We start from the raw sequence: 22,966 nt of genomic DNA, 5'->3' as shown, positions 1-22,966 counted from the left end.
TTAATTTTCAAAAAATAAAAAAAAAAAAAAACTCTTAATCATCTTTGGCTACAAATACTCTTGTTTTAAACTGCTTTTCTTGTCATGAACTCATTTCCCTGTCATTTTTTTACTCCACTTTATAGGCTATACCTGAGACTTTCTAGTAAAGATCCTTGTAATGCTTTAATCAGTTCTTGACCATTTAGCTTTTAAGCTTCCCCCCATTTTTCACTATTATAAACCACATTTTGTATTTTTTAAAAAATAGATGTCTAAGGTATTATTTAAATTTCTGCTTTTTTTTTTTTTTTTTTTTTTGAGACGGAGTCTCGCTCTGTCACCAGGCTGGATCATGGCTCACTGCATCCTCCGCCTCCTGGGTCAAGTGATTCTCCTGCCTCAGCCTCCCGAGTAGTTGGGATTACAGGCACCTGCCACCATGCCCAGCTAATTTTTGTATTTTTAGTAGACCTTGTTGGCCAGAATGGTCTCCATCTCTTGACCTCGTGATCCGCCCGCCTTGGCCTCCCAAGGTGCTGGGATTAGAGGCATGAGCCACCATGCCTGGCTGCATGTTTTTAATAGATTTAAAAATTGTATTCATTAGAGCTTTTTAAAAAAATAGTAGTCTAAAGGAGAAAACATAAAATGACTTACAATCTCATTGCTCAGTTAACTCTACTGACATAAAAAATATACGTGCATGGTTAGAAAATGTAAATAGAGTCAAGAAGTACAAAATGAATGGTGGAAGATTCTGGTTCTACTCAGCCAGTGTTTACTGCCAGTAAAGGTTTTTATGCATACACTAACATATATTTTTGCATATGTAAGTTTGTGTATATATGTAAAATTTATACATACACGTTTATGTTTGAGTTAAAATATATAAACAAGAGATCATATCTTATACACTTTGTTCTGTTTTTTTGCATATATTAAAAAGTTTTTTTCTTATGATTACTTTCTTTTGTATGTCACCATATATTATCTTTAATATTGAAATGCATAATAAATTTTACTATTATAATTGCTTTTTTTTTTTTTTTTTTTGAGACAGAGTTTCATTCTTGTCCCCCAGGCTGGAGTGCAATGGCATGATCTCAGCTCACTGCAACCTCCGCCTCCTGGGTTCAGGTGATTCTCCTGCCTCAGCCTCCTGAGTGGCTGGGATTACAGGCAAGTGCCACCATGCCCAGCTAATTTTTGTAATTCTTTTTTTTCTTGAGGCGGAGTCTTGCTCTGTTGCCCAGGCTAGAGTGCAGTGGCATGGCACAACCTTGGCCTGCTGCAACCCCCACCTCCCAGGTTCAAGCGATTCTCCTGCCTCAGCCTCCCAAGTAGCTGGGATTACAGGCGCCCACCACCACGCCAGCTAATTTTTTTGTATTTTTAGTAGAGACAGGGTTTCACCCTGTTGACCAGGCTGGTCTTGAACTCCTGACCTCAAGTGATCCACCCGCCCTCGGCCTCCCAAAGTGCTAGGGTTATAGGTGTGACCCACCGCTCCCAGCCTATAATTGCTTTTTATAATTGCTCTTGAGGGAGGTTCAATTCAGATTCAGTTAGGATATATAGAAATCATGTAGAAAAAATTAGTATCTTCCAAAATTAACAGCATTAGGCTGGGTGTGGTTGCTCATGAGGCCTGTAATCCCAGCACTTTGGGAGGCTAAGGCAGGAGGATTTCTTGAACCCAGGAGTTCGAGACCAGCCTGGGCAACAAAGTGAGTCCCCTTTCTCCAAAAAGTAAAAAAAAATAACTGGATGAGGTGGTGCACACCTGTGGTCCCAGCTACTTGGGAGGCTGAGGTGGGAGGATTACTTCAGCCTGGAAGGTCTAGTTATGTTCATCTGTTATGTTTATCCATATTGATGATATTTTTGAGTTCCCTAAGTGAGAATGCTACATTAGATGCTTTTATATGGCATTAAATACTACTCCTACCTAAGCGGTTTTTCCTGTTCTTAACATCTTGAATTAGTATGGTACATTTGTTACAACTGATGAACCAATATCGATACATTATTATATTAACTAAAGTCTATAGTTTAATTAGGATTCACTCTTTGTGTTGGATAGTCTTACGGTTTTTACCAAATGCCTATTATGTCTCTGTTGTTATAATACCATACAGAATGGTTTCAGTGCCCTAAAAATCAGTGCTTCACCTATTCATCGCCTTCTTCTCCCCTCTCCCTGAGTGCCTAGTAACCACTGATCAGTTTACTGTCTCAGTAGATTTGCCTTTTCTTGAATGTCCTACAGTTGGGAATCATGCAGTATATAGCCTTTCAAATTGGCTTTCATTTAACGACATACCTTCAAGATTCCTCCATGTCTTTTTAGAGCTTGGTAACTTCTCTTTATCACTGAATAGTATTTCATTTTTTGTTTCATTTTGTGGATGTACCATAGTTTGCTTATCCATTCCACCTCCTGAAGGATTGTTGCTATATTTAATTAATATCTACCTTACTTACTATCCTTTTCTAATCATTGCCAATCTTCTCCCCCTTTTTTTTTGTCTTCCACTTTTTTCCTGCCTTCTCTGGTTTTAATTGTGTGTTTTATATGACTATAATTTTTTCCTCTCATCATATCATTTATACATATATATGTTTATATTGTTTTTATTACTGTCTTTTAGTTTTTGCAGCATACATTTACAACTAATTTACAACTTTCTTTATTTTTTATTTTTTTGAGACGGGCTCTTACTCTTATTTAGGCTGGAGTGCAGGGGTGCACAATCTTGGCTTACTGCCACTTCCACCTCCTGGGCTGAAGGGATCCTCCCACCTCAGCCTCTCGAGTAGCTGGGACTACAGACATGCACCACCATGCCTGGCTAATTTTTAAATTTTTTGTAGAGACAGGGTCTCACTATCCTGCCCAGGCTGGTCTTGAACTCATGGGCTCAAGTGATCCTCCTGTCTTGTCCTCCCAAAGTACAGGATTACAGGCAGGAGCCACTGCACCCGGCTAACAACTTTCAAATAACACTATACTGCTTCATGGGTAGTAGAAGCATCATGTGAGGGTCTTTCTAATTTCTCCCTCCTGTCCCTTATGACATTACTGTCATTTGTTTCACTTATCCATAAGCTATAATCACCAAATACATTGCTGCTTTTATTAATTTGAACAAATTATTTGTTAGATCAATTAAGAATAAGAAAAAAATGAAATAAAATATTTTATTTTACCCTCATTTGTTCTTTCTCTAATGTACTTGCTTGCTTGCTTTATGTAGATATAGTTTTCTGACCTATATCCTTACTCTTCTCTGAGGGACTTCTTTTAACATTTCTTGCAAGGCAGATCTAATGTCTAAATTGACAAACTCCCTCAATTTTTGTTAGACTAACAAAAGCTTTATTTCTTCTTTAATTTTGAAAGAAATTTTTCCTGGATATAGAATTCTAAATTAGTGGGTTTTTTTCTTTCGCTATCAGCACTTTATTTTATCACTTCTTGCACGGTTTCTGAAGAGAAATCTTACATAATTCTTATCATTTTTATGTTTCTTATCATTTTTATCCATGTTTGTCTATTGATAAAGTGTTTTTGTCCTCTGGTTTCTTTCAAGATCTTTTGTTTGTCTTTGGTTTTTTGCAGTTTTAATATAATATACCTAAGTGTCAATTTCTTGGTATTTATCCTTCTTGGAGTTCTCTGAGCTTCCTGGATTTGTGGTTTGGTGTCTGTCATTAATTTTGGAAACTTCTCAGTAATTACTGTATTTCTTTCTCTCCTTCTGCTATTCCCATTTTATATGTGTTATACCTTTTATAAATTTTAGGATTTAAAAAAATTTCTTTGAAGAATGTCATTGGTATTTTGATAGGGGTTTCATTAAATATTTAAATTGTGTTGGGTAGTATGGACATTTAAACAATATTAATTCTTCCAATCCATGAACATGGGATATCTATCCAGTTTTTTATGTCCTCTTCAATTCCTTTCATCAGTGTTTCAAAATTTTCCTGGTATAGCTCTTACACTTCTTTGGTTAAATTTATTCCTAGGTATTTTGTTTTGTTTTTGGTAGTTATTGTAAATGGGATTGCTTTCTTGATTTCTTTTTCAGTTTGATTGCTGTTTGTATATAGAAATGCTACTGATTTTTCTGTGTTGATTTTGTATCCTGCAGCTTTACTGATTTTGTTTATCAGATCTTAGGGTTTTTGGTGGAGACTTCAGGTTTTTCTAAATATAAGACCATGTCACCTGCAAACAAGGATAATTTGACTTTTTCCTTTACATTTGGATGCCCTTTATTTCTTCTCTTGACTAATTGTTCTGGCTAGGTCTTCCAGTACTATGTTGAATTGAAGTGGTGAAAGTGGGCATCCTTATCTTGTTCCAGATCTTAGTGGAAAGGCTTTCAGTTTTTCCCTGTTCATTGTGATATTAGCTGTGGGTTTGTCATATGTGGTCTTTATCATGTTGAAGTATGTTCCTTCTACACCCAATTTGTTAAGAGGCTTGTTAGATGAGGTCCAAGTCCTGCATTTCTTTCAGTTACTTTCCCCTGTTATTACACAGGTGCCCTGTTGATGTAGTGGTAAGATGAGGAGAGGAGACACATTCTATAATTCTGTGATCAGTTGTAATTCTTTTGGTGAGCCTGTGCCACTGGTCTGTGACTTAAGAAGTTCTTCTCAGATTTTCTCCCACTTTAGGTCAGACAAGAAGGCTGGAGGGGGCTGGATTTGGGTATTACTTTTACTCCAAGTCTGTTAAACTCTTGTAAGGCCCAATTTTGTTAGGCTCTGGTAAAATAGTTTCTCTTGCAGTTAGGCATTTTTGTAAAGAGAACAGAATACTCAGTGAAGTGGGTATTTGTTGGGGCCCTTGGAAGTAAAACTTTCATAAAGCCTTCTACAGCTTGATTCCTTGGCTCTCAGGAGTTTGTATCTCTCAGGGTAGTCCACATTTAGTCTCCAGCAATTAGTTCATTACCCTTTAAGTATTCCTGCTAGCTCCAAGGGTGGTTTAGGATTCTCTGATTCTGTCCATACTTCCAGTTTTTGGGGCATTGGTTTGCTCTGTCACCTCAATTCTCAGATAGATCTGATAAGAGTTATTGGTTTTTAATTCACGTTTTTTTTTTCCTGTCAGGATAAGAGTAATACCTTCTAAAATCTTTACATGTTAGGTTAGAAACTGGAAATCTCTTTCATTGTTTTTTTTACTCTCACCATATGGGAGGAAGTCTGAAGTTTCCTGAAATCTTAACTAGCACCTGTTTATATCACTACCTGTTTTCATTCTTAAGGAAGATTCAGTGCATTCTGTAGACAGTCACTTTAAGCACTGTGTGGGTAGGACTGGAGTTAGGAAGAGAGGGTCAAGGGTCAAGAATGTTTAGGAAAAAAAGGTAGACATTTACAAATCTGAGCTTCTTTCATTTTTTTAAAGAAAACTCCTCTAAATGAATTATTGAATGACCCAAGTACCATGTAAAGGAATTATACCAGTTTATAGCTCTAATTTCACTATTTAAAATTTGCTATTTTGTGGTGGTTGTAAAAAGAATTTTTTTTACCATTTAACTTTACCACCTTCTGAAGAATACACAGAATAAGAGACTCTTTTCTGATGTCTCTCTTAACCACAGATTAAGAATAATGCATTTTATATGTGGGAGTAAATAAATAAGTTAATGAAACTCATTTTGGCTTCCAAATGGTAATTTTTCATCTTTTCTGTTTTGCTAGTTGTACTAGTTGTGTGTATGTGTGTGTGTGTGTGTGTGTGTGTGTGTGTGTGTTTAAGACACGGTCTTGCTCCTGCTGGAGTACAGTGATGTGATCTCGGTTCACCACAACTTCCACCTCCCGTGCTCAAGTGATCTTCCTACCTCAGCGTTCCAAATAGCTGGGAACACAGATGCACAACACCACACCTGGCTAATTTTTGTATTTTTTGTAGAGGGGGTTTCGCCATGTTGCCCAGGCTGATCTTGAACTCCTGGGCTCAAGTGATCTGCCTGCCTCAGCCTCCTGAAGTGCTGGGATTACAGGTGTGAGCCACTGTGCCCGGACTTACTAGTTATGTTTTATAAAAATTGGGTTGTTTTTAAGATAACATTTACTGTCAACATTTTAAGATTTTTAAAATTTTGGTTAAATTGAATTTTTCAAATATAGTAGATGTACCTAATTGTACTAATCTATGTTTAAGGATGGAGAATACAAAAATAAGGAAACACCCTATTTGTTTTCTCATCTTGTAGCCTTGTAGAAGAGATAAGAAATGAATATAAATGATTATAATATAATTCAAAATGTACTAAGTATAATTAAAGAGTTACAGGAGCAGAGAGTAGGGATTTGGGAGGAAAGAGGTAATAGTTGAGTTAGGGAAGCACAGAAAGGGCTTCATTAAGGGGGTGGCATTTGAATGGATTTTGAAGGTGCCTGCAGTTTTCATGGGATTAGGCATAAGGTTTTAATGAGAAAGGGAGTTATGTACACACAAAGTATTTAGTAGTAGGAAAGCCCAGAGCTTATTTTTAATAGCAGGAAACTATTTGGCTTAACTTGCAGGAGTTGTAAAAGGCTTGGCTAGTAACTGAGATCTGTTTGTAGATGTTTTTTGTCTGGGTTGCATAGTTAGAAAAAAATTTTTTTATACAGATATTTATAGCTAGATATTGGTCCTACCATTCCCTATTATCTTACACCTTGTCTACCTTTTCACACATACGTAACACCACCCTGGGGCTGGAGGCATTTGAGTAGCTGACTTATAGAGATACAGTATAAGAGGGGCAGAATTAGAGAACTGGAAAATAGATTGGAACCAGATTATGGAGGGAATTGAATGCCGTTGTAAAATACTTGTATTTTATTCTGTGACTGGTACAGAGCTAATAAAAGTTCTTAGCAAAGGAAGGAGTGATGATTGGGACTGAAGAAGAATAGCACTCCTAGGCTGGGTGCGATGGCTAACACCTGTAATCTCAGCACTTTGGGAGGCCAAGGTGGGCGGATCATGAGGTCAGGAGTTCAAGACCATCCTGGCCAACATGGTGAAACCCCATCTGTACTAAAGATACAAAAAATTAGCCAGGCTTGGTGGCGTGTGCCTGTAATCCAAGCTACTTGGGAGGTTGAGAAAGGAGAATCGCTTGAACTTGGGAGGCGGAGGTTGCAGTGAGCCAAGATTGCGCCATTGCACTCCAGCCTGGGCGACAGGGCGAGACTCTATCTCAAAAAAAACAAAAACAAAAACAAACAAACAAACAAAAAAAACAAAAACAAAAACAAAAGAATAGCACTCCTTGGCCGGGTGCGGTGGCTCACGCCGGTAATCCCAGCACTTTGGGAGGTTGAGGCGGGTGGATCACGAGGTCAGGAGTTCGAGACAAGTCTGGCCAACATAGTAAAACCCCATCTCTACTAAAGATACAAAAAAATTAGCCAGGTGTGGGTGTGTGCCTGTATCCCAGCTACTCGGGAGGCTGAGGCAGGAGAATTGTGTGAACCCAGGAGGCAGAGGTTGCAGTGCCCGAGATTGCGCCATTGCACTCCAGCCCAGGCGACAGTGTGAGTGAGACTCCGTCTCAAAAAAAAAAAATAAAGAAAAAAAGAATAGCTCTCCTTGATGGTGTGATGGCAATATGAAGGATGGATTGGAGTTGGAAGAAATAAATAGAAATAGTGTAGTAAAAAAATCATGGGGGCTTTGAACCAAGGCAGTGACAGGTGGGGTAACAAACTGAACAGATGTGGGAGATGTTTAAGGGTTAGAATCATGAGGATTCTACACAGAATTCTATGCAGATAGAAATGTTCCTATGTGAGACAGTTAAGATGAATTGAAGAGAATATGAAGTTCAAGGCCTTATAATATTGCCATTATCAGAAATGGTAAAGCCAGAAAAGAGTGTAAGTTTAAGAGAATGTAGGGTATGGAAATGTTGACTTGTTTTTAAAAACATGCAGGAATTTCTCTATGATTCTGACAGCAAACTTGGCCAGTTTATAAGATTGTGTTGCTTCATAGTAGCTTCAAATGGTTGAGTTTTAAAAATAGAGTTTAGAATGGCTCTCTAGTACCTGAAGTATGCCCTTTCTTAGAAAAACTTTCTTATCATCATGCCTATTTAAATGGAAATTTGGAAAGATTTAAAAATTAATTTTGGGAATCTCATTGCATTCATTTAACTGATCAAACAGTAAAGATTTATAATGACTTAAATGTTAATTTTAGTTCAGTCATTGACAGCTAGCTTACCCTTCTTCTTCCCCTATCCTCTACTTTTTTCCCCAGTTCTTTGCCTCTGATGTTTTCTGGATCTTTTTTTGTTTCTTTTTTGGAGATAGGATTTCACTCTGTTACCCAGGCTGGAGTCCAGTGGCATGCTTACAGCTCACCACAGCCTCCACCTCCCAGGCTCAAGCGATCCTCCCACCTCAGCCTCCCAAATAGCTGGGACTGCAGGTGTGCACCCCCACCCCTGGCCAATTTTTATATTTTTTGTAGAGATGGGGTTTCACCATGTTGCCCAGGCTTTTCTTGAACTCCTGGGCTCAAGGAATCTGCCCACCTTGGCCTCCCGAAGTGCTGGGATTACAGGCATGAGCCATTGCGCCCAGCCTGTTTTCTGGATCTCTGTAGTTTATTTTTTCTTACATGAATCACAGTATTCTGCTTAAATTCTATATGCATGTCTCTTTGGTCTGAAAGTGAATTTGATCAAGAGAAAAAGATGAGAGTTCTTCCTTATAGGACTCTTTAAAACTGCAGTGATGATTCTTTTATATCACTTTGCCTTTAACACCTGTTTGAAACTTTCATGACCACCCTCACATTTGGCGATTCTCTAGAGCAGGGGTCCTCAGCTGGTCCGTGGCCTGTTAGGAACTGGACTGTGCAACAGGATGCGAACGGTGGGCCAGCGAGCATTACCCACCTGAGTTCCGCCTCCTGTGAGATCAGTGGCAGCATTAGGTTGTCATAGGAGTGTGAACCCTATTGTGAACTGCACATGTGAGGGATCTAGGTTGCGTGCTCTAGAATCCAGTTACAGGTGTGTACTGTTCTCCCTTATGTGGAGGTGGGCTGCATAGAAAGTACATAGTATTTCTGCCCAAAGAAGGCTGCTTTAACATTTAAAATCCAGGATTTTTATTGGGGACTGGTCATGTAGGCATTCTGCCTGTGTAGCTAGCCACAGCTACCAAAATTCCAGGCTCTCAGAAGGAAAGTGTTTACTGTATGTAATCACATTGTTTACAAACAATCTCAGCAAGCTGGTATAGCAGAATTCAGTGTCCCAAGTGGGTAAAACAGCCTTATCAACATAAGTAATATTCTAAAAACCAAATTCACAGATGCTAACCAAGGACCAGTCTTACAAACAGGCCCTTCTAAAGATTGTAGCATCAGGCCTAGCTATGTTAACTCTCAGGTAAAGCTCCTATGCCTCTTTCCCAGTTACAGGCTACCATATTGCCATTCTGTATTTTTGACTCTCTGAAATGCCATCTTAACCTTTATTATAGCTTAGGTTTCACTGGATCTTAAGATTTTTACTTTCCTTTCTGATTGTGGCCTCAATGAAGGTCTTCAAATGTTAGAAATAGAGAAAAGTAGATGTGCTTTTATATAGGTAGTCTTTAAGGAATGGAATGGCTTCTCTCTGGACGTAGAATAAAAAGAAGCCAGAGATTCTCTTCCTCTGCCCAGTTTAATGACAGTCACAGAGCAGTGGCATTTTTCAAATGTTTTCTTTTTCTGTGACTTTTATATTTACAGTTATTTGTATATTTCTGCATATGTCTTACAGTTAAATTTTTTTATTTTTGGTTTTAGAGCATTTACTGAGGTTTTTAGAGCAAATGTAACTTTATGTTTCTCAGTTTCCTCTTTTTCTGTATGTTGATTCCCTTTGAGTATTACCATATCTCCTATCAGCAAGAGCATTTTTAAGACGTATAGAACATGAGTGAGCTCCAGAATAATAGCAAATCATTCTTTGTTGGTGGTAATGGAATAGTTTCAGTTTCTATGACCACGAAAAGCCTAAAGAGGAGGTAGCAAAAGACATTTGAGAAGATTAGAATATATTTTATCAGCGTAAAGATTTTTTATATTTACCCACATAACTTTTTGTCCCCCCCCACCCCCCTGTTTTTTTCTGTGAGTATTTTCAAACTGAAAGGGGAGAGGAGAATAAATCACAGTGGTATTACTATGACAACAACCTTGGCACCTTAGGGGTAAGGATCCTGTCCCTTCTGACTGGCTAACTGTAGTTGTTGTTACAGTTGGTTTAATTCTCCTCACATCTTAAGATACTGGGACTGCTTCTAGACTCATTAGGAAACTGGAAGAATTTGTATAGGAAGGAAAATTTGCATATTCGTCAATGTTATACAGAGGAGAAATGTTCAAATTAATGGCAGGGGAAGATTAAGCAAATAAGTATTTGTATATTTCATAAATATGTAAATATTTAATTTGTATATTTCATAAATTTGTTAATATTTAAACAAATTTAAAATTTTAAGATTTTAATTATTTATATACCACAAATTAATAAACCACTTTCAATTAAATTATAATGTTTTCTTATCGCGTGTATTTTTTTATTAGAATTCATCTTTTTATGTTAGAATTAGAATTTAGAATTTTCATAGTCTGTTTTAGTAAGAGCATTGGTAATACAGTGTTTCTGTTTTTGTTTTAAAGTGAGGGGCTCCAGGAGTTTGAGGCTGCAGTGAGCTGTGATGGCACCAATGCACTCCAGCCTGGGTGACAGAGCAAGATCCTGTGTCTAAACAAAAAAAAACAAAACAAACAAACAAACAAAATGTGAGGGGGAGGTTCTTGGATTTCAGCTCTTTTATCTTGGATTGATACATTTCCTGCAGCATGGTTTAAGCTATAAGACAAAAAAAGAAGGGCTAAAAGATTCCTCTGTGTTACTAAAGAATTAGCAAGAACCTGGTGAGGTATTATTAACTGTTTTTTCTGTTTTTTTCAGATGGCAAAATTGAGGCTTAGGATAGTAATCTGCTGTAGGTAGCAGCTTGTGAGTGGCAGGGATGGATTTTCTTTTTTTTCTTCTGCAACAGCTTTATTGAGGTATGATTTATACACTAAAATTCACTCATGTAAGAGTTCAATGATTTAACTTTTTTTTTTTTGAGGCAGAGTCTTGCTCTGTTGCCTACGCTGGAGTGCAGTGGCATGATCTCGGCTCAGCGCAACCTCCACCTCCCAGGTTCAAATGATTCTCGTGCCTCAGCCTCCTTAGTAGCTGGGATTACAGGTGCACATCACTATTTTTAGTAGAGGTGGGGTTTCACCATGTGAGCCAGGCTGGTCTCTAACTCCTGGCCTTAAGTGATCCGCCCTCCTCTGCCTCCCAAAGTGCTGGGATTACAGGTGTGAGCCAGCACACCTGGTCTAAAAAAATTTGTTTTTAAGATTAGGGGTCTTGCTATGTTGTCCAGGCTGGAGTTGAACTCCTGAACTCCTGGGCTCAAAGTATCCTCCCACCTCAGCTTCCCGAGTAGCTGGGACTTACAAGCATCTGCTACAGCACCAGGTCTCAACTCAATGTTTTTTTTTAGTAAATCTACAGAGTTGTGTAAATATTCTCACAATCTAGTTTTAGAACTTTTTTTTTTTTTGAGATGAAGTCTTGCTCTGTCACCCAGGCTGGAGTGCAGTGGTGTAATCTTGGCTCACTGCAACCTCTACCTTCCTGGTTCAAGCAATTCCCCTGCCTCCGCCTCCTGAGTAACTGGGATTACAGGTGCACGCCACCACGCCCAGCTAATTTTTTTGTATTTTTAGTAGAGACGGGGTTTCACCATGTTGGCCAGACTGGTCCCAAAGTCCTGACCTCAGGCAATCTGCCCGCCTCAGCCTCCCAAAGTGTTGAGATTACAGGCGTGAGCCACCATGCCTGGCCAGAACATGTTTTCATCACCCTAAAAAGAAACCTGGTGTTCATTTGAGGTCAATCCTTGTTCTTACTCTCAGTCTCAGACAACCACTGATTTGCTTTCTGTTTCTAGATTTGCATTTTGTGGAAATTTCATATAAATGGAATTGTACAAAATGTAGTCTATTTTTCACTTAGGATACTGTTTTTGAGATTCATCCCTGTTGTCGCATGTCTTGGTAGTTAATTCTTTTTTTTTTTTTTTTTTTTTTTTTTTGTGAGACAGAGTCTCACTCTTTCGCTCAGGCTGGAGTGCAGTGGCGTGATCTTGGCTCACTGCAACCTCCACCTCCCAGGTTCAAGCGATTCTTCTGCCTCCGCCTCCCAAGTAGCTGGGACGACAAGCGTGTGCCACCACACCCGGCTAATTTTTGTGTTTTTAGTAGAGACAGGGTTTCGCCATGTTGGTCAGGTTGGTCTCGAACTCCTGAGCTCAAAGTGATCTGCCCATCTTGGCTTCCCAGAGTGTTAGGGTTATAGGCATGAGCCACCACGCCCAGCTCATTCTTTTTTATTGCCAAATAATTATTCCATTATATGAATATACCACATTTTGTCCATTTACCGGTTGATAAACTATTGAACATTTCCAGTTTTTGGCTATTATGAATAATGGTATAAAAATTCTTGTACACATTTTTATGTCAAAGGAAACTGTTGGGTCATATGATAAGCCTATATTTTAATTCTTTCAGAAACTACCAAAGTGTTTTCCAAAGTGACTGTACCATTTTATATTTTAGGAATAGTGCATGAGGCTTGCAGTTTCTTTACATCCTGGCCAATATCTGTTATTGTCAGTATTTTTGATTATAGCCATTCTGATAGACATTTAGTGTAATCTCATTATGCTGTTAATTTGCATCTCCTTAATGACTAATGATGTTGAGCAACTTTTTTTTTTTTTAAATTATTGTACTTTAAGTTCTGGGATACAGTGCAGAACGTGCAGGTTTGTTACATAGTTATACACGTGCCATGGTGGTTTGCTGCACCCATCAGCCCATCATCTACATTAGATATCTCTTCTAATGCTATCCCTCCCCTAGTCCCCCACTCCCCAACAGGCCCCGGTGTGTGATGTTTCCCTCCCTGTGTCCATATGTTCTCACTGTTAAAGCCCCAGTTAATGAGTGAGAACATGCAGTGTTTGGTTTTCTGTTCCTGTGTTAGTTTGCTGACAATGATGGTTTCCGGCTTCATCCATGTCCCTGCAAAGGACATGAACTAATCCTTTTTTATGGCTGCATAGTATTCCATGGTATATAGGTGCCTCATTTTCTTAATCCAGTCTATCATTGATGGACATTTGGGTTGGTTCCAAGTCTTTGCTGCTGTGAACAGTGCTACAATAAACATATGTGTGCATGTGTCTTTATAATAGAATGATTTATAATCCTTTGGGTATATACCCAGTAATGGGATTGCTGGGTCAAATGGTATTTCTAGTTCTAGATCCTTGAGGAATCGCCACACTGTCTTCCGCAATGGTTGAACTAATTTACATTCCCATCAACAGTGTAAAAGCTTTCCTGTTTCTCCACATCCTCTCTAGCATCTGTTGTTTGCTGACTTTTTAATGATTGCCATTCTAACTGGTGTGAGATGGTATCACACTGTGGTTTTGATTTGCATTTCTCTAATGACCAGTGATGATGAGCTTCTTTTCATATATTTGTTGGCTACATAAATGTCTTCTTTTGAGAAGCGTCTGTTCATATCTTTAGCCTACTTTTTGATGGGGTTGTTTTTTTCTTGTAAATTTGTTTAAGTTCTTCGTAGATTCTAGATATTAGCCCTTTGTCAGATGGATAGATTGCAAAAGTTTCTCCCATTCTGTAGGTTGCCTGTTCACTCTGATGGTAGTTTCTTTTGCCGTGAAGAAGCTCTTTAGTTTAATTAGATCTCATTTGTCAATTTTGGCTTCTATTGCTATTGCTTTTGGTGTTTTAGTCATGAAGACTTTGCCCATGCATATGTCCTGAATGGTATAGCCTAGGTTTTCTTCTAGAGTTTTTATGGTTTTAGGTCTTACGTTTAAGTTTTTAATCCATTTAAGTTAATTTTTGTATAAGGTGTAAGGAAGGGGTCCAGTTTCAGTTTTCTGCATATAGCTAGCCAGTTTTCCCAACACCATTTATTAAATAGGGAATCATTTCCCCATTGCTTGTTTTTGTCAGGTTTTTCAAAGATCAGATGGTTGTAGGTGTGTGGCATTATTTCTGAGGCCTCTGTTCTGTTCCATTGGTCTATATATCTGTTTTGGTACCAGTACCATGCTGTTTTGGTTACTGTAGCCTTGTAGTATAGTTTGAAATCAGGTAGCATGATGCTTCCAGCTTTGTTCTTTTTACTTAGGATTGTCTTGGCTATATGGGCTCTTTTATGGTTCCATATGAAATTTAAAGTAGTTTTTTCTAATTCTGTGAAGAAAGTCAATGGTAGCTTGATGGGAATAGCATTGAATCTATAACTTACTTTGGGCGGTGGGCTGTTTTCACTATATTAATTCTTCCTATCCATGAGCGTGGGATGTTTTTCCATTTGTTTGTGTTCTCTCTTATTCCCTTGTCTCTGATAAAACAGACTTTAAACCAACAAATATGAGAAAAGACAAAGAAGGCCATTACATAATGGTAAAGGGATCAATGCAACAAGAAGAGCTAACTGTCCTAAATATATTTGCACCCAATACAGGAGCACCCAGATTCATAAAGCAAGTTCTTAGAGAACTACAAAGAGACTTAGACTCCCACACAATAATAGCCGGAGACTTACCGCCCCATTATCAATATTAGACAGATCAGTGAGACAGAAAATTAACAAGGATATTCAGGACTTGAACTCAGCTCTGGACCACGCAGACCTAATAGACATCTGGGGAACTCTCTACCCCAAATCAACAGAATATGCCTTCTTCTCAGCAGCACATTGCACTCATTCTAAAATTGACCACATAATTGGAAGTAAAACACTCCTCAGCAACTGCAAAACAACAGAAATCATAACAGTCTCTCAGATCACAGTGCAATCAAATTAGAACTCAGGATTAAGAAACTCACTCAAAACCGCACAACTACATGGAAACTGAACAACCCACTCCTGCATGACTACTGGGTAAATTACGAAATTAAGGCAGAAATAAAGAAGTTCTTTGAAACCAATGAGAACAAAGTCACAATGTACCAGAATCTCTGGGACACAGCTAAAGTAGTGTTTAGAGGGAAATTTATAGCACTAAATGCCCACAGGAGAAAGAGGGAGAGATCTAAAATCGACACCCTAACCTCACAATTAAAAGAACTAGAGAAGCAAGAGGAAACAAATTCAAAAGCTAGCAGAAGACAAGAAATAACTAAGATCAGAGTAGAACTGAAGGAGATAGAGACACGAAAAACCCTTCAAAAAAATCATTGAATCCAGGAGCTGGTTTTTTCAAAAGATTAACGAAACAGATAGACCACTAGCCAGACTAATAAAGAAGAAAAGAGAGAAGAATCAAAGAGACACAGTAAAAAATGATAAAGAGGATATCACCACTGATCCCACAGAAATACAAACTGCCACAGGGAATACTATAAACACCTCTATGCAAATAAACTAGAAAATTTAGAAGAAATGGATAAATTCCTGGACACATACACCCTCCCAAGACTAAACCAGGAAGAAGTCAAATCCCTGAAAAGACCAATAACCAGTTCTAAAATTGAGGGAGTAATTAATAGCCTACCAACCAAAAAGCCCAGGACCAGATGCATTCATAGCTGAATTCTACCAGAGGTACAAAGAGGAGCTGGTACCATTCCTTCTGAAACTTTTCCAAATAATGGAAAAAGAGGGGTTCCTCCCTAACTCGTTTTATGAGGACAGCATCATCCTGATACTAAAACCTGGCAGAGACACAACAAAAAAAGAAAATTTCAGGCCAATATCCCTGATGAATATCAGTGCAAAAATCTGCAATAAAATACTGGCAAACCAAATCCAGCAGCACATCAAAACGCATATCCATCAAGATCAATTTGGCTTCATCCCTGGAATGCAAGGCTGGTTCAACATATACAAATCGATAAATGTAATCCATCATATAAATAGAACCAATGACAAAAACCACATGATTGTCTCAATACATGCAGAAAAGGCCTTTGATAAAATTCAATACCGCTTCATGCTAAAATCTCTCAATAAACTAGATATTGATGGAATGTATCTCATAATAATAAGAGCTATTTATGACAGACCCACAGTCAGTATCATACTGCATGGGCAAAAGCTGGAAACATTCCCTTTGAAAACCAGCACAAGTGTGTCTCCTCTCACCACTCCTATTCAACATAGTATTGGAAATTCTGTCCAGTGCAATAAGGCAAGAGAAAGAAATAAACTGTATTCAAATAGGAAGAGAGGAAGTCAAATTGTCTCTGTTTGCAGATGACATGATTGTATATTTAGAAAATCCCATTGTCTCAGCCTAAAATCTCCTTAAGCTGATAAGCAACTTCAGTGAAGTCTCAGGATACAAAATCAGTGTGCAAAAATCACAAGCATTCCTATACACCAATAGTAGACAAACAGCCAAATCATGAGTGAACTCCCATTCACAATTGCTACAAAGAGAATAAAATACTTAGGAATCCAACTTACGAGGGATGTGAAGGACATCTTCAAGGAGAACTACAAACTGTTGAGCAATTTTTATGTGCTGATTATCCATTTGTATATCTTCTTTTGTGAAATATCTATTCATACATTTTTGCCCAATTTTTATTTTGGTAATTTGTTGTTTTATTGAGTTATAAGAGTATTTATGGAGACAAATTCCTTATTAGATATATGATTTACAAATATCTTCTCCTAATGTATGACTTGAGTTTTCATTTTCTTAATGAAGAGCAGAAGTTTTTCATTTTGTTAAATTCAGTTATCAACTTTTTTTCTTGTATAGATTCTGTTTCTGGTATCAAATTTAAGAAAACTTTGCCTCCTCCAAGGTCATAGAAATTTTTTCCTTTGTTTCGTTCTTGAACAAGAGTCAGCAAATTTTAGCCTGTGAACCCCATCTGGCCCACAGCCTACTTTTGTAAATAAAGTTTTATTTAAACATAGCCATACTTTTGTATTTACATATTGTCTATGCCTGCTTTTTCTCTACCTGAACTGTTGAGCAGTTGCTATACTGTACTGCCCAGAAAACTTGAAATACTTAATGGCCCCTTTCAAAAAATGTTTGCTAACCCCTGTTCTAGAAGTGTTACAGTTTTAGCTCTTATAGTTCTAGGATCCAATTTTAATTAAGTTTTGCATATGGTGTGAAGCAAAGAGACAAGTTCATTATTATTTTTATTTTTATTTTGGTGTATGGATATGCAGTTGTCCTAGTACTATTTGTTAAAAACTCTCCTATATGTTAGAAGTTATTTTCTTCTCGCTGCTTTCACGATTTTTTTCTTGCCAGGCACGGTGGCTCACGCCTGTAATCCCAGCACTTTGGGAGGCTGAGGCGGGCGGATCACGAGGTCAGGAGATCGAGACCATCCTGGCTAACACGGTGAAACCCCGTCTCTACTAAAAATACAAAAAATTAGCTGGGCGAGGTGGCGGGCGCCTGTAGTCCCAGCTACTCGGGAGGCTGAGGCAGGAGAGTGGTGTGAACCCCGGGGGGCGGAGCCTACAGTGAGCTGAGATCTCGCCACTGCACTCCAGCCTGGGCGACAGCGAGACTCCGTCTCAAAAAAAAAAAAAAAAAAAAAAAAAGATTTTTTTCTTGTGTTTTGTTTTCAGCTGTTTGATTATGAAGTATCTGGGTGAGGATCTCTTTGTGCTTATCATACTTTGGATTTGTTGAATTTCTTAGATCTGTAGGTTAATGTTTTTTCATGAGATTTGGAATGTTTTCAGCAGTTATTTCTTGTAATATTTTTACTGTTCCCTTTCTGAAGTTCCCATTATATACATGCTGGTATGCTTGATGTTGTTTACAAGTCTCCAATGCTCTGTTCTTTTTCTCTGTTCTGATTGGTTAATTTCTTTATCTGTAATTTCACAGACTGTTTCCTATATAATATCAAATCTGCTCTTCAGACCATCTGGTGAACTCATTTGAATTTTTTATTTCGGTTACTATTCAACTCTAAAATTTCCACTTGGTTCTTTTTAATAGTTTGCATTTATTTCTTTGTTGATATTCCCTATTTAGTTATATCATCATAACTTTGAGCATGGCTTCCTGTAGTTCTTTGAATATATAATAACTCCTTTGAAGTTTTTGTCTGCTAAATCCAATATCTGCTCTTACTCAGATACAACTTCTGCTGGCTGCTTATTTTTCCCGCCGAATATGGGTCATAGTTTGCTGTTTCTTTGCATGACTTATAATTTCTTTTGGAACTGGACATTTTGTGTAGTATGTTATAGTAACTTTGGATTCGGTTTTTACTCATTTTTTCCCTTGCAGGTTGTATTTATTTATTTATTAGGAACTTTCATGAACTTCAACTGCAGAATCTGTCTCTCCCACTATGTGTGGTCACTTATGTGTCTCCCCAGCTTTTAAAACTTCTTAATTTTTAATTTTAAGCTTGGCTTTGTAGGGTTCCCACCTGCAATTCCTTAATTTAGTGCTTAGCTAATTATTGGTTGAAGGCTGTACCTAAACACCTTGAGCCAGAAAGACTTTCACCCTCTGCTGGGAGATTGTATGGAGGCTGTGAAGGGAGGATCACTTGGGCTCAGAGTTTGAAGCTAGCCTGGGCAGCATAGTGAGACCCCATTTCTCATTAAAAGAAAGAATCAACTAAGTATAGTCTGTTTTCATGTTTGTTTCTTTTACTTTTTATTATGTTGTCTTAGACCTAAGACCCTGTGCACGTACCCAAATTTTCTGTTAGCCAGGCGTGTGTGGAGAGCTAGGTCTCTCAGGTTTCCAGCTTCCCCTGTGCATACGCTGCCAGTCTCTCAGCCTGCGTTTTGTGTGGAGCTTAGGACCTTATGGGAGTCCCCTGTACATGCGTGCAGCCTCCTAGTCAGCCAGTGTTGTGTGGAGGGCATAGGTCTCTCTTCAGGATGTGTGGAAAATTTATCAAGTCTCTCTATGGCTGTGCCATTTCTAGGATCTGTCTATTAAATTTCTAGTTAGTCCTCAGGTTTCTGGCTCACCCCAACAACAGCAATCTCGGACTAAGAAATCTGCAGGCTTTTCTGTTTCCTACTGAGTGTGGGTTTTCCACTCTCTGCTCCAAGTCAAAGTCATCCCCTTTTTGCAATGAAGGTGCTGTTCCTTGATGGAACTTATACCTCAGTGGAGCTAGGGTAGGGGATGGAGGCAGCTCCTGGTAAGATGCCAGGTTTCCATTGTTGTTACCAAGAAGTTCTGTAGTTTTTCATGAACATGCTCTTCTCATTGTTTTTGTTTGTTTGCTTGTTTGTTTTTGCCTTTAGTTGATTTCCATAACACAAAGATGGTTGTTTTTGACGCTTTTATCTAGTTTTATAATTGCTTTTTGGGGGTGAGATTTTGTATTCCTTCACTGGAAGTTCAACTTCAGAACTTGGATTTTAAATCCTAGTAGTATTACATTTCAAAGCTAAATGCTCTTTTCTCTAATTCATGAGTATTTGTCTGTGGAGATAGAGAACAAGTAATTTTTTAAAAGAGAGATGACAGAGGGGTGGATAAATGAGCCTCGATTCAAGTCCTAGGTTTCTACAGAGGATAGAATTTTATACCTCCTTACAGATAGATTTGTAAGCTCAAACTGAGGTTAATTGAAGGGATTAATGGCTCTTGTGGAGAGTAGACATGTGTTGTTTATTCAGAGTGAGCCAACTCTTGTGACGAAGTACCTTTCCTATAGTGTTCTTCACTTCATAACAATTTTATGAAGTAAGTATTGTAATTATGATCATTTTACAGATACGGAAATATATTTACAATTCGGGAACTTACCTATGCTCTGAACATTTGTATGTGGTGGGGATGGCACTTGAACCCATTTCTTCTGGTTTCTCCTTGTTCTTTATACTCTGTATAACTGTTTCCCAATCATATCATAATTACTCACAGACACTTTGATTATCTTAATGTATTTTTTTATGTAGGTAGTAGTTGAGGTTAGAATAATTAATTCTTTTCTTTCAATTGACAATCAGTCTTAACTAATTGAAGAGCCCCTATTCAGTCAGGGAGTTATTTAGCAAACTGGTAACAGTTAGAGAAAGAGATCCTGTGGCAGCTTCCTCTGCCAGCTTCCTTTTTTTCTCTTACTCCATAGATGCAGATTCTGCCCAAGAAGCCCCTGCATTGCAGAGGGACTGGAGATCTGTATGATCTGTTTATTTCGCAATTGACAGGGTAAGGGGGCCTTATGGGGGAGGTGCTTGGGTGCCCTAAATTTAGCTTTATGCAGCTGGGCTAACATTTATTTGGGGATTATTTAAACTTAGTATTTTTAAAAACTTTTGTGAATTTTGTTTGTCCTACATCAGTTAAGTGCCAGATTATCATATTAAAAAGCATTTATTATAATGGTGATTTTTTTAAAAAGGTCCTGTTGAGAACAAATCAGACAAACATGATTCATGCTTCTAAAATACCAAATCTGGGATCATTTAGAATATAAATAATATTGAATATATATAAGTAAAATTTCACAATAACATTTTTAAAAAAGGTTTTGAATGAACATCTGTTTCTATAGCTCATCATAGTTATTCTTTATTAATCTACTTTGTTTCTTTTCCATAAATCTGTCAATCTGTAGAGTGAAAAAGGGACTTGTGGATATGCCATAAACATTGTGGGTGGGTGTGGTGTCTTTTTCTGCTGCTAGAAATTAAAACTTACTTCCTTTAATTCTTTGTCTATTCTAGATGCCAATGAAATTTGAGTTGTATTTCAGACTGTCTTGTATCTGATCATTAGGATAAGTGTAAAAGTGCAGTTGATAAAACTTACGGGAGCCAAGATTAAGTTTTTAGGTCTCACTTGGCAGGTTTATAGAGCAAGTGCCAGAAATGATGGTTTTTATAATAGGATAGGATTAAAATAGGTGAGGAAGAGTTTAATGGTCTTTTATAATCACAGAAGGATTTGGCAGATGACTGTAGCCTTGATAAGTACTTGAAAAGAATTGAATTGGTGCTCTTCTGATGGGCTTGTTTTTATTTTTTGAGATGTTATTATACCTGGTAGTAAAATAGCTTTTTTTACCTAAAGAGGTAGTATATATTTCTGTAGTTTAAATGGATATTTTTAGTATTCTGTATGACTCATATTTTTAATCGTACCCTTGTACCCTTTAAACATTTAATTTATGGATTTTAAGAATTCATCAATAATAATTACATATGTTATCCTTACCACTATTAATACATATTCCACTTTCTAATGCCAACACATTTGGAAAACTTTCATTTAAGCATCTTAAATGACATTTTTTTTTTTTCTGTTTTCTTTAAGCCATAAGGATGAGTTTACCATTATTCCTGTACTGGTTGGAGCTCTGAGTGAGTCAAAAGAACAGGAATTCGGAAAACTCTTCAGTAAATATCTAGCGGATCCTAGTAATCTCTTTGTGGTTTCTTCTGATTTCTGCCATTGGGGTAAGTTCTAGATTTTAACATATCATGGTAGATGTTATATACTTCTGGTTAAAGGTATCTTTTCATTCTAAGCTCTGATTTTCAGTTTTTTATCACTTTCCTTGGAAAGTTTTACTTCTGGCAGCAGTGTTTAAAAGTGAATAAAAAATCTTTTGATCCTTTAAAAAGGATCAGATTACAATAGTGGATTATGGGTACATTTCCAAAGGCGACTGGTATAATTGGATTCACACTGTGAAGGCATCCTTGTTTAGACACTTATTTAGTGGGAGTTAAGATCTTTTAACCTCATTTCCAAGTAGGTGTGTATGGTAGATTCTCTGAAGTTAGTTTTGGTGGATAAATCCAATGTTCTTTAGAGTATAGAAGAGCACTGTGTGCTGTGCCAGTCCTTTTCCACATTTCCTTTTTTGTAATTAGTCTTTTTTTTTTTTCCCCTTTGGTGCTTAGTTTTTACTCACAATTGCCATCAGTTTAAAGCTACCCTCCAAAGATTATAAAATATTGGCTATTAAGCACTGTGGTCATCATTGGTAATGTTTTTATAAGGGTAAGGACTCTTGAGTGATTTTTTGATTATTGTAAGAGCAAGGACACGTCACAGTGAGTACGTTGTAAGAGAAGTGAGCTGTTTGTGGATGCCTCTTTTAGTAAACGTTGCTTCTACAGTCTTTGGATGCAGTTTGCTTTCCTTTATCCATTACTGTCCCAGAATATTTCTAAGTTTTGTTCGTTTTAGGACATCTCTTTGACCTATTAATTTATTGGTTTAAGATGCCAATATCTGTTCATTTATCACTTATTTCTTTGATTATAAGGAAACCTAAAATGTAAGACCATAATTTTTAAGATACAACGCTAGAATAGCCAGGAGAACATCCTTAGTGAAATATAGGGAGCCATGGCATTTTATGTGTCTTACCCACTGATTGCCAGAATTGATTCAACATTTATCTGGCCTGCTTGGGCTGGTGTCTTCTCTTGCTTCTATCTCTGAATGGCCTTTTCAAAGTTGAGATCTCAGTTCAAGAGAACTATCTTTTGTAATGGTACAGATTAGTTTTTTGCATAAGGTACTTAGCCTCAACTGGAGTGATTTTACTCTCAGGGGCATTTGATAATTCCTGAAGACAGTTTTGATCACCACAACTGGGATATGGTTTGGAGGGTGGCAATACTAATGGTATCTAATGAGTAGAGTCCAGGGTAGCTGCTAAATAAACATCCTGCAGTGGCACAGGATGGCTCCCACATCAGAGAATTACCAGGCCCAAAATGTCAGCAGTGCTGAGGTTGGGAAACCCAGATTTTTAGGATATGCAGGTAGTTGCACTTCCTTTCCAACCCCCCAGAGAAGCTCTCAGGGTTCTTCTTCTTTTTTTAAATCTGTTTTTAATATTCAGGGTTCT

General features: G+C 37.7%; 1 protein-coding gene across 22 annotated transcripts in view; it reads left to right on the top strand.

The window, feature by feature from the left end:
- Positions 1-22,966, top strand: part of MEMO1 (mediator of cell motility 1) — a 143,186-nt gene that overhangs the window by 97,460 nt on the left and 22,760 nt on the right. For 13 of the 22 annotated variants that reach the window (NR_163998.2, NR_163997.2, NR_163995.2 and 10 more), the window contains one exon: positions 21,415-21,557. The exons of the other annotated variants lie outside the window; for them this stretch is intronic. Coding sequence is in view for 10 of the 13 variants with exons in the window: in NM_001371916.2 (NP_001358845.1) it covers positions 21,415-21,557 (143 nt within the window). In the remaining 3 variants the exon portion in view is untranslated. The remainder of the gene's footprint in view (positions 1-21,414; positions 21,558-22,966) is intronic. 22 annotated transcript variants of the gene reach the window in all.

The sequence above is a fragment of the Homo sapiens genome, chromosome 2 (genome assembly GCF_000001405.40).
Source record: "Homo sapiens chromosome 2, GRCh38.p14 Primary Assembly".
NCBI lineage: Eukaryota > Metazoa > Chordata > Mammalia > Primates > Hominidae > Homo > Homo sapiens.
The sequence above is the reverse complement of the archived record's forward strand: the minus strand, read 5'-3'. Positions and strand labels throughout refer to the sequence as shown.